General features: G+C 36.4%; 1 protein-coding gene across 37 annotated transcripts in view; it reads right to left on the bottom strand.

Annotated features, from left to right (window-relative positions):
- CCDC91 (coiled-coil domain containing 91) overlaps positions 1 to 13,093 on the bottom strand; it is a 359,711-nt gene that overhangs the window by 176,092 nt on the left and 170,526 nt on the right. For 36 of the 37 annotated variants that reach the window (NM_001352086.2, NM_001352079.2, XM_047429083.1 and 33 more), the window contains one exon: positions 11,560 to 11,637. The exons of the other annotated variant lie outside the window; for it this stretch is intronic. In NM_001352086.2, the coding sequence (NP_001339015.1) occupies positions 11,560 to 11,637 (78 nt within the window). The remainder of the gene's footprint in view (positions 1 to 11,559; positions 11,638 to 13,093) is intronic. 37 annotated transcript variants of the gene reach the window in all.

Below are 13,093 nucleotides of genomic sequence, written 5' to 3'. Positions count from 1 at the left end.
GTTCGTTCTCACATTGCTAGAAGGAAATACACAAGACTGGGTAATTTATCAAGAAAAGAGGTTTAATTGATTCACAGTTCTGCATAGCTGGTTAGGCCTCAGGAAACTTACAATCATGGCAGAAGGTGAAGGGCAAGCAATGCACCTTCTTCATAGGGTGGCGGGACGGAGAAGTCCAAACAGGGGACATGCCAGACATTTGTAAAAGCATTAGATCTTGTGAGAACTCACTCACTATCACCAGGACAACATGGGGGAAACTGCACCATGATCCAATCACATCCCACTGAGTCCCTGTCACGACATGTAGGGATTATAGGAACTACAATTCAAGATGAGATTTGGAAGGGGACACAGCCAAATCATGTGACAAGGTAAACTGGCAAAGCAATCATTCAGTCTCTGGAAAATTGATCAAAGGTCTTACAACAAATTGAGAAGCATTTATTCAAAAAAAAAATGTATAGAAACTTGTATTAATAGATGTCAGTTACGAGGAGAAAGAATCAGTAAACCTTAAGAACTACTGATAAAGATCATACAATCTGAAGAACAGAGAAAGGATAAATAACAAACAAAAATGACTACACCTAAAAATCATGTGAGACCCCATTAAGAAAACTAACACATACATAATGAAAGTAACACATGAGAAAAGAGAAGTAGGAGAAAAAATATGAATGGCTGAAAACTTCCCAAAATTGATGAAAAACAATCTACACATATAAGAGGCTAAATGACTTCCAAATAGAATAAATGAAAAGACACACACCTAGAAACATCACAGTCAAAATACTAAAAGTGAAAAACAGACAATTTGAAAACAGGATAAAAATAACTCATAGTGTATAAGAGAATCTGAAAAAGATTAACAGCTTACTTCTCATATGTAGGATAGAAGGCAATGAGATGACATATTCAAAGTACTAAAATCAACGAACAAAAACTGCCTACAATCTTATTTTTTAAATAACTAACTTTAAAGAATGCAAGTGAAAAAATACACAAATTAATTGTTAGGAGATACAACTTATAATAAATACTAAAGGACCCCAACAAACTAGGCACAGAAGAGGCATTCCTCAAAGTAATAAAAGCCAAACATGCCAAACCACAGCCAACATCATACTGAATGGGAAAAATTTGAAATTATTTCCTCTAAGACCTGAAACAAGACAAGGATGCCCATCTTCACTACCTCTGTTCAACACAGTACTGGAAGTCCTACCAAGAGCAATCAGACAAGAGAAAGAAATAAAGTGCATCTAAATTGGAAAACAGGAATTTGAACTATCTCTGTTTGCCAATGACATGACTGCATACCTGGAAAACCCCAAAGACTCCTCCAAAAAACTCTTAGATTTGATAAATGAATTCAGTAAAGTCTCAGGTTACAAAATCAATGTACACACATCAGTAGCACCAATAACAACAAAGGTGAGAATGAAATAAAAAACACAATCCATTTACAATAGCTACAAAAAAAAAATTTAAATACCCAGGAATATACATAACCAAGTAGGTGAAAGATCTCTATAAGGAGAACTACAAAACACTGCTAAAAAATTTTAAAAAAAAGCATTAATGACACAAACAAATGAGAATACATCTCATAATCATGGACTGGAAGAATCAGTACCATTAAAATGACCACACTGCCCAAAGCAATCTACAGATACTATGGAATTAATATCAAAATACCAACATAATTGTTCACAAAATAGAAAAAATAATCCTAAAATTCATATAAAACAAAAAAGCCCAAATAAGCAATCCTAAGCAAAAAGAACAAATCTGGAAGCATATTTACCGAATTTCAAATTATACTACAAAGCTGTAGTAACCAAAACAGTATGGTACTGGTATAAAATTAGATACTTAGACCAATGTAACAGAATAGAGAACCCAGAAATAAAGCCAAATGCTTACAGCCAAGTGATCTTCGATAAAGCATACAAAAACATAAATTGAGGAAAGGACACCCTATTCAACAAATGGTGCTGGAAAAACTGGATATCCACATATAGAAGAATAAAACTGGATTTCCATTTCTCACCATACACAAAAATCAACTCAAGATGAATTAAAGACTTAAATCTAAGACCCAAAACCATAAAATTTGAAGAAGAAAATAAATACTAAAGGAAGTTCTTCACACTAATGCAAGCAGCTCCAGATAGTAATTTGATCTATGTGAAAAACAAAGCATGCCAGTAAAGGTAGTGATGCCACTTGATATCCAAAGGGACTGATTCCAGGACCATTTAGGATACGAAAATCTGAGATTGTTCAAGCCTCCGGCCCTGTGAAACCTGCAGATACAAAAATGTGGCCCTCCATATCCATGGATTTCTCACCTAATGAATACAATGTTCAATTCATGGATGCAGAACCCACTGGTATGGAGGGAGCAGTAATTATAAGGGTAATTTTAAATGACAGCATAATTGGATGCTGCTTCTCTTTTCTTAACTGATTTAAAAAGCAATTGTTTAAAATAATATGCATATAATTCTATTTGTACAAGAGACAAACTTTATATTCAAAGACACAAATTGGTTCAAAGTAAAAGGATGGGAAAATATATACAGCAGTCCCTAACCTTTTTGGCACCAGGAAACGGTATCATGGAAGACAATTTTTCCGCAGACTAGGGTAAAGCGGATGGTTTCAGGATGAAATTGTTAAACCTCAGATCATCAGGCATTAGATTCTCATAAGGAGCATGTAACCTAGATTTCTCACATGTGCAGTTCACCATAAGGTTTTGCATGGCTATGAGAATATAATGCCACTGATCTGAGGTGGTGGAACTCAGGCAGTAATGCTTGCTTGCCCACCAACACTTCCTGCTGTGCAGCCCAGTTCCTAACAGGCCACGAAATGGTACCGGTCCACAGCCTGGGGGTTAAGGACCCCTGCTATACAAACCACCACCAAAATAGAATGGGAGTGGCTACATTAAATATCAGAAAAAAATAGACTTTATACCAAAAAAAAAATCTTACTAGAGATAAAAAAATATGATAAGAGAGTGAATCCATCAGGAAGATTGATATGGTTTGGATCTGTGTCCCCACCCAAATTTCATCTTGAATTATAATTCCCACATGTCAGGGGAAGGGCCTGGCAGGAAGTGATTAGATCATGGAGGCGATTTCCTCCATGCTGTTCTCATGATAGTGAGTGAGTTCTCATGAGATCTGACAGCTTAAAAGTGTGGCTCTTCCCACTTCGCTCTCTCTCTCTCTCCTGCTGTCTTGCGAAGAAGGTGCTTGCTTCTCCTTTGCCTTCTGCCACGATTATAAGTTTTCTGAGGTCTCCCCAGCAATGTGGAACTGTGAGTCAATTAAATCTCTTGTCTTTATAAATTACCCAGTCTCAAGTAGTTCTTTACAACAGTGTGAAAACTGACTAATACAAAAAATTGGTACTGGGAGTGGGGAGCTGCTATAAAGACACCTAAAAATGTGGAAGCAAATTGGGAACTGGGTAAAAGATGAAGGTTGAAACATGTTGGAGAGCTCAGAAGAAGACAGGAAGATGTGGGAAAGTTTGTAACTTCCTGGAGACTTGTTGAATGGTTTTGACCAAAATGCTGACACTGATATGGACAATGAAGCCCACGCTGAGGTGGTCTCAGAGGAGGATGAGAAACCTATTGGGATCTGGAGCAAATGTCACTCTTGCTATCCTTTAACAAAGAGACTCAACAGCATTTTGCCCCTGCCCTAGAGAATTGTAAAATGCTGAACTTGAGAGACATGATTTAGGATATCTGGCAGAAGAAATGTCTAAGCAGCAAAGCATTCTAGAAGTGAACTTTTTCTGAAAGTGCACAGTCATACATTCACAAAGAGATGATCTCACATTGGAACTCATTTTTAAAAGGGAAGCAGAATATAAAAGTTTGGAAAATTTGCAGACTGACTGAACATGCAATAGAAAATAAAAACCCATTTTCTGGGGAGAAATTCAAGTTGGCTGCAGTAATTTGCATATGTAACAAGGAGTTGAATGTTTATAGCCAAAACAGTGGGAAGATGTCTTCAGGGCATTTTAAAGATCTTCATGGCAGCCCCTCCCATAGCCCGTAGAGGCCTAGGAGGGAAAAATGGTTGTGTGGGATGGTCTCAGGGCCGCACTGCTCTATGCAGTCTCTGGACATGGCACACTGTCCCAGCTACTCCAGCTCTAGCTGTGGCTAAAAAGGGCCAAGGTACAGCTCGGTCCATTGCCTCAGAGGGTGTAAGCCCCAAGCCTTGGTAGCTTCAATGTGGTGTTGGCACTGCAGGTGCACAGAAGGCAAGGGTTGAGATTTGGGAGCCTTTGCCTAGATTTCAGAGGATGTAGGTAAATGCCTGGATGTCGAGGCAGAAGTTTGCTACAGAGGAGGAGCCCTCACAGAGAACCTCTACTAGGGGAGTGCAGAAGGAAAATGTGGGGTTGGATCCCCTACACAGAGTCTCCACTGGGGCACTACCTAGTGGAGCTGTGAGAAGTGGACCACCATCTTTGAGACCCCAGAATGGTATATCCTCTGAGAGTTTGCACTGTATGCCTGAAAAACCTGTAGGCACTCAATGCCAGCCTGTGGAAGCAGCCACAGGGCTGCACCCCGCAGAGCCTCAGGGGGAGAGCTGCTCAAAGCCTTGGCAGCTTACCTCTTGTATCAGAATGTCCTGGATGTGAGACATGGAGTCAAAGGAGATGATTTTGGAGATTTAAGATTTAATGACTGTCCTGCTGGGTTTCAGACTCACATGGGGCCTGTAGCTACTTTTTTTTGGCCAATTTCTTCCATTTTGAATGGGAGCATTTACCAATGCCTGTACTACCACTGTATCTTGGAAGTAACTAACTTGTTTTTGATTTTACAGGCTCATAGGCAAAAGTGATATGCCTTGTCTCAGATGAGACTTTGGACTTGGACTTTGGGTTAATACTGCAATGAGGTAAGATTTTAGGGGACATTGGAAGGCATAATTGTATTTTGAAATGTGAGAAGGACATGAGATTTGGGAAGGGCCAGGGACAGAATGACATGATTTGGCTTTGTGTCCCCACCGAAATCTCATCTTGATTTGTAATTCCCATGTGTCAGGGGAGGGCCTTGGTGGGAGGTGACTGGATCACGGGGGCAGATTTCCAGCATGCTGTTCTTATGGTAGTCAGTGAGTCCTCATAAGATCTGACGGTTTAAAAGTGTGCACTTCTGATCTCTCTCTCTCTCTCTCTCTCTCTTTCTCTCTCTCCCCACTGCTGCCTTGTGAAGAAGGTGCTTGCTTCTCCTTCACCTTCTGCAATGATTGTAAGCCAGGCAGAACTGTGAGGCAATTAAACCTCTTTTCTTTATAAATTAGTCTCTAGTAGTTCTTTATAACAGTATGAAAACAAACTAACATTAACATGTAACAACTAAAAACAGATATGTAACTAACAAAATATCCAAAAAATGCATGAAGTAAAAACTGACAGAATTAAAAGCGACGTAAACAATTCAACAATAATATTTAGAGATTTCACCACCCCACATTAAATAAAGGCTAGAAAAATTAGGCAGATTATCAACTGCATAGAGAAAGCCTAAGCAACACTATAAACCATCTACCCCATAGATATCTGGAGTATGGTCCATCTAACAATAGCAGGATATACATTTACTCAAGTGCACAGGATAGATCAGAGGCTAGGCCATAAAATAAGCCTCAGTAATTTTAAAAGAATTAAAGTCACCAAAAATAAGTTATTCAATAACAAAAGAATTAAAGGAAAAATATGGGTTGGATATGAAATTTGTGGTTAAAAGTTCTTTTTTCAGCACTTGTTCCATTTCCTCTGACCTCCATAGTTTCTGATGAAACGTCTATCATATTTCTGTTATTCTGTAGGTAAAATGTCATTTTTCTCTGGCTGCTTTAAAGATTTTCAATTTTTGGTTGAGGGAAGTTTAGCTACGTGTGTATTAAGGTCTCCAGAGAAATAAATCCATATATGTACAAATACACAGAAAAACTTCCTCTAAGGGATTGGCTCATGTGATTATGCAGGCTATCAAGTTCAAAATCTGCAAACAAGGCTGACAGGCTGGAGACCCAGAAAGGAACTAATGTTGCAGCTTGCACCCAAAGGCAGTCTATTGGCAGAATCCTTTCCTGTTCAGGGAAGGTCAGTTTTTGTTCTGTTAAGGCCTTCAAATGATTGGATGTTGCCCACCTACATTATGGAGGGAAATTTGCCATATTCAAAGTTCACAGATGTAAATGTTAATCTTATCTGAATTAAAAAAAAAAATCCTCACAAAAACATTCAAATAAAATTTGCTCAAATATCTAGAAACCATTGCCCAGTCAAGCTGATGCATAAATTAACCATTATAGTGGGTGCTGACATGCATTTTGTTTGTTTTTGTCTTTATCATATTTGCAGTTCATTTGGCTTCTGAAATATGCAGTATTATCTTTTGCCAAATTTGGGAAATTGTGAGCTAATCTTACTTTGAATGTTTTTAAGTTTTGCCTTCTTTCTTCACTCCTTCCAGGATTGGATAACATAAATTTTAGGTCTTTCATCATAATCCCACAAATTCCTAAACCCCTATTCATTTGTTTTCAGTTTGTTTTCTCTATACTGTTCGAATTGGGTAATTTCTATTTTTTTCAAATTTACTGATTCTTTCCTTATTTCTCCATTCCATTATTGAGCCCATCTCTGAGTTTTTAATTTTGGTTATTGTATTTCTACTTCTAAAATTGCCAGTTGGTTCTTCTTCATACAGTCTATTACTTTGCTGACACTTGCGGGTATTTTCTGTTTTCACATTGGTTTCAAGAATGTTCATAATCACTTGTTAAAACATTTTTGTAATTAATGATTTAAAATCCTTGTCAGATACTTAAAATTCTTGACAAATAATTCTAAAACTGGAATCTGCTCAGTTCAGCATCTGTTGTCCTTTTTGGTTTTCATTCAAGACAAAATATTCTTGGTTCCTGATATGAGTATTATATAAGTATTTTTTAATTGAAATCTAGACGTTTGAAATCATGTTTCAGGAGATTTCTTCTGACAGGACACCACTCCAGCCGAGAAAAATGAAAACCTCCAGGTAGGGTGGAAGTCTAAGTACCCAACTCAGCCTCTACTAGCACTCAGCATACAGGGAACAAGGATCTCCTTGTTATTTCTGGACATGGTTGGGAGTTCAGCTTCCCACCAGGCCTCCATCAATACCAGTCCGGCTGTGAGGAGTAAGGGTACCACATTATTGTTCCCCACAAACCATCCACTGAAACCACAGAGGAGTGGCCTCATTACTACCAAGCAGAAATGACAGTCTTGATTCCCATTAGGTATCCCTTGATACCTTCCCAACACAGTAAGGGAGGAATACCTCATCAACGCCAGCTTAGGGCAGAAGTCTAGTTTCCTAGATGGCCTATCCCGACACTCGTAGGAAGGGGGCTTATTGCCCAGCATGAATTAAAGTCCTAGTTCCCTGCCTCACCTTCATTAACACCACCCCAGTGAGGAGATAGAAGAGTTCCTCATTTATAAGCTGATAAAAGTGAAAATCTAAGTTCTCTCTCTAACAAGCCTTCACTGCCATTTCTTCCTATGGTACTTGGTGGAAGTAGAATGGGTATTATCTAATAGTTTTCTGTCTTACTAGGTGGAGGCTTTTGGTTAGAGAAAGCAGGCTTTTCGTGAGGTTTGTTTCTATACGCCCATTGCTATTTCTGGGTTACTCACTTCTCCAGTGCTTTAGTGGGACAAAAAGGGTAAAAAGAAAATCCGGGGAACCCACTACTATGTAGTTACTTGGGTGTCATGGTTCCTAGCTAGTCTGCCTGTTTCTGTCTTACTTTCAGGGACTTATTTCAGGGACTATATTTTTATATAAAATATCCAGTTTTTTTTTTAATCTGTACTAAGTAGGAAAAATATAAAAAGTCATGTCTTCATATTTCTGAAAGCAGAGGTTTATACAAACATAAGTTATCTTCCTATGCATTACATTTTAGGCTTTTGCCATTTTTGTTTTACTTTACTTGGTATTTTCCACTTTCTTTTCTAAGGAGCATTTTTTCAAACTCCTCAACAATATTTCAGCTCAACAGGGACAGGAAAAAAGTGATTGATTACATCTAGTCCAGGATAACTAGAAAGACGTAAGATCCCCAGGAGCCAGGACTGGTGGTGAGACAGTAACAGATTTTTCTATTCCAGTTGCATATTTGAGTAAACATTTACAGGGGAGGGAGAGGTAAAAGTGTGAAGCCCTGAAAACTGAAATGTCAAGGAATGCTATGACTTTAAGTTCCTTCCTTCCTAAATATTATATGTAGTCATGGAATGTAGATATGGAATTATATCCCACTGAAACAAGGATTGGAATATTTTGCTCACTGCTGTATTTACAATAATCCCTGGTATAAAGAAGATAATGAATAATCTTTGTTGAATTAAGAAATGAATAAATGCAAAGAGAATGTTCACACAACTTTTGTTAACAATAGTAACTAGAGATATTTTGGTTTCCTTTTGAAATACCTAATAATTAACAAATCATCTATCAAATTTTCATATACTACAGTAAAATACGGCTTTAAAAATATTAATGAAAAATTACTTTTCTTGTTATTGTGAGTGTGCTTAGCTGTTTTTCTAAACAGGTTGCTTTTGATGTTTTTAAATCATTTTTTGGTTCTAACTCCACAATATTTTCTTCGCTGCAAACGTATTTATTGGTATAAATTTCAATACTGGTAACTAAGGAGGTTAAAATCATAAGTGAAAACTATTCTAGTATTTACAAATGGCATTTTGAAGAAATTTGGTTAAGAGCTACTCATTTTACATATTTGTCCAGCGCCATTACTTAGCACTCAGTTAAAGAGAAATGTAAAATTTTCAGATGTTATAAGATGACTTGCTAAAATGGATTAGGAATTCAATCAAATTGCCTACGAAGTTATATTTAATTTTTTATTTCATAGCTCACAGTCAGTTTATAGTCAAAGGATATAAATACTTTTAAATCAGTGAAAATTCATTGCATATTGATTAATCATATGACTTGTTGAATTCCACATCTTGTACAATAATATTATAGTACTCTGAGGAGAAATATTATCAGATATACTGGATATCATGTAAAATTTTGCAACGAAGGTGTTCTAAAATATGCTGAGAATCAGCTTTCATAATAATATGGAAAAAAGGTAAAATAATTCATATAGAAAAAATCATAATGTGTTGATGGTTTGTGGTACATTACAGAACAAGAAGTGGAATGATTTTCTTCCTGATCCTACATTCATGCATGAGAAGTTCATGTGATAATTATTTTACCGTATGCTTCTCTTTTTCTAGATAGCAAGTAATTTGTGTTACTTTTTACCGTTGTACTGTTATTTTTATTGCTTTTCTTCCCCAAACATTTCTCATCCATGGTTATGGAATCTGCAAATATATTAGGCCAATTGTATTTTAATTCCTCCCACCCTCAGCGTTAGGGATAAAATAAGTTGACAAAATCAATACTATAATAATATAGGACTTTTCCTCAACTCAATAACTGTAAAACTGGTTTACATTAACAGAAAAAATATTAAAAACATTATAAAAGGGCCAATTATCATTGCTATAAAAATCAGACTTTGTTTTTTGTTTTTGTTTTTTTTTGAGACGGAGTCTCGCTCTGTCACCTAGGCAGGAGTGCAATGGCGCAATCTCGGCTCACTGCAACCTCCGCCTCCCAGATTCAAGCAATTCTCCTGCCTCAGCCTCCCCCAAGTAGCTGGGATTACAGGTGTGCACCACCAGGCCCAGCTAATTTTTATATTTTTAGTAGAAACGGGTTTTCACCATGTTGGCCAGGCTGGTCTGGAACCCCCGACCTCAGGTGATCCACCCACTTCGGCCTCCCAAAGTGTTGGGATTGCAGATGTGAACCACCATGCTCTGCCAAAATCAGACATTTTTTAATGACCTTTTTAACAATGAGCATCAACTACTATATTGGGTATGGTCACAAAAATGGCCTTTCATGTCCTAAGACATATCTAGTAGACTATTTTAATACCCTAGGTGAAGAAAAAAAAAAAAACACTTTTCACTTAATTCTGGATCTACTTTTTTTCCTACTTTTATCCAAATGATTTTTCTTTTTTCTTTTTTTTTTTTTTTTTTTTTTCAGATGGAGCCTTGCTCTGTTGCCCAGGCTAGAGTGCAGTGGCGCAATCTCGGCTCACTGCAAGCTCCGCCTCCCGGGTTCATGCCATTCTCCTGCCTCAGCCTCCCGAATAGCTGGGACTACAGGCACCCGCCACCATGCCCGGCTAATTTTTTGTATTATTAATAGAGACGGGGTTTCACCGTGTTAGCCAGGATGGTCTCGATCTCCTGTGATCCACCTGCCTCGGCCTCCCGAAGTGCTGGGATTACAGGCGTGAGCCACCATGCCCGGCCCAAATGATTTACGGAAGCTTCTGACACTAAATTATCAACTAAAATGACATTAACTTCTAACAAGTCTAGTGAGGAAGTTTAATCAACAACACAAAAATTTCTATATTCTAACTGTAATAGGGATTTTTTATATTTATTATTATAATGAACAATGAAAAACAAAATGCCTATGTAAACATGTATGGTTAAACAAATTATGGTATATTTATACTGTAAAAACTAAAGAAGAGTAACAAAAATAGGAAAAGCTTATATGTACTGACATGAAAATATCTCCAAGTCAGTGAGTAAATACAGCAAGAAAGAGTAAATTTAGTAAGATAACATTTTTTTTAATCAATTCAAAACTATATAGCTTGTTATGAGCATTTAAGTATATAAAAGTAGATGGAAAAATCTCTTAGAAGAATATACAATGGAACTGCCAATACTGGTTACTTCTAGGGAGAATTGTTTGAATTTTATTTCAATAAAAACATATTCATCCTTAATTACTTGTAAAAGAAAAATGATCTAACATGAAGTTTAAAGGGAAATAAAAATTTGACATTAAATGCTCAATGTGCTTTAAATATTTCAGCTTATGCAGGCACAGAATTGAATAATTTTTAAAATAATTTTAAATATTAATGTTTTACTGTATGATACTGACATGATAATTTCTGTTATTGCTAAAGTGTACCCAAATCTATCTAATTTGTTTAAGAAAAGAAAAGCAAAAAGGTATAATATTTTTTTCTGATATATTTCATGCCTTAATTTTTTTCCTGTCAGAGGAACCACAGCAGAGACAAAAAAGATAATCTAGCAACTAATTCTATATTATTTTGTACTTGAATTTCTTTACCTGCTGATACTATATTCTCAAATATTCTCAAACTTTCTCAAATTCAGAACAGTGTCTAATATTACCTTTGTAATCCACTGAGTATGCTTTCAATGGATATTTGTTGCTGAATGGAAAGAAATTCTATAGCAAAATAAGACTACACATATAATTTGTATATGTTTGCACATACCTACATGTGTACATTTTTTACTAAAGTTATCCAAGGTTTAAAAAAGTAAACACTCTCAAACCTCTACCTTATATTCATCCACAATAATGCTGAGGGCTTCGTGACCAGCTTTCCTCATGTCTTCCAATTCTTGTTTATGTTTTTCCTGAAAGAAAAAAGAAACTAAAACCATGAGTTTTTCTTCTGTTTTGTTTTCAAAATAATAAAACCATAGACTTTTGCTGCTTCCACGAATGATTCAGTGGTTTGTGGCACATCAATGCTACAGCTGGAAACAAAGAGAAAACATATATATATATATAAAGCTTTGCTTAAAAGCATTGGAGAACACTGAGGCAATGAGGAATTAAAGGGAAACAAGAGAAAAAGGAAAACCATGTTGAGAGGTGAGATAACACAAGGCAAAGGTACTTTCCCTTGGGGCATCTGCCAATTCTTGACATGGATCAAGAGATGGGAAACCCTGCGTCACTGCAACAAGCCTTGGCCTCTATATTTCTAATACATCCCAAAGTTTGAGAACCACTGGAATATGATTAGACCCCAATTCTACCTACCTAGGACAGGAGAGGATGAAGTCTCTTTGGACACTGTTAACATCCTACAATCTTTCCAGTTTTTCACATATGATGTCCAGCTTCCAAAACAAAATTATCAGAAATGACAACAGAAAAAACAAAAAGAAACACCCCCTCCCGCCCCCCTCCCACACACACAGAAAACAGATAAGACAAAAGAAATAGTTCCAGAGATAGGTCCATAGGTGGTTTCGATGCTAGTTATCACAGAGTTTTTAAAATGTATGTAAGAGTTCCTAACACATCCAAAAAACAGAAGGGAAATGGAGAAAACAGATAGGATAGAGATTTTCACCAGAGAACTGGAATCCATAAAATAGAAATTCTAGATCTATGAAATATGTACTATTAATAACTCAATAGATGACATAATCAGATGAAAGAGAGCCGGAAACAGAATTAGGAAACCAAAAGACAGTGAAAAAAAATAAAGACTACAGCAAAAGGAATATTTAATATGATGGAAAATATTTTTAAAAATCTTTTAAAAGACATATAGGACAGAGGAAGCCAAAGAAAGCAAAAAGAGAAAAAAGACGAGAAAAAAGTGAAACAAGTAGTAAGATGATAAATCTCCGCACATTCTCACTCATAGGTGGGAACTGAACAATGAGAACACATGGACACAGGAAGGGGAACATCACACTCTGGGGACTGTTGTGGGGTGGGGGGAGTGGGGAGAGATAGCTTTAGGAGATATACCTAATGCTAAATGACGAGTTAATGGGTGCAGCACACCAGCATGGCACATGTATACATATGTAACTAACCTGCACATTGTGCACATGTACCCTAAAACTTAAAGTATAATAATAATAAAATAATAAAAATTTAAAAATTTAAAAAAGATGATAAATAATGAAGTGGAAAAACCCACAAAACTTCCAACATCAGGCACGAATGTGGGACATTATATAATCTATAAATATTTCTAAAAATGAAAAGATATTACAAAATATATCAATAAATATAACATTTTACATAAAATTTTAAAACTACTAAAATAAAAAACACAATTTACCA

Source organism: Homo sapiens, chromosome 12 (genome assembly GCF_000001405.40).
Source record: "Homo sapiens chromosome 12, GRCh38.p14 Primary Assembly".
NCBI classification, from domain to species: Eukaryota; Metazoa; Chordata; class Mammalia; order Primates; family Hominidae; genus Homo; species Homo sapiens.
This window is presented reverse-complemented; position numbering and strand designations above follow the sequence as displayed.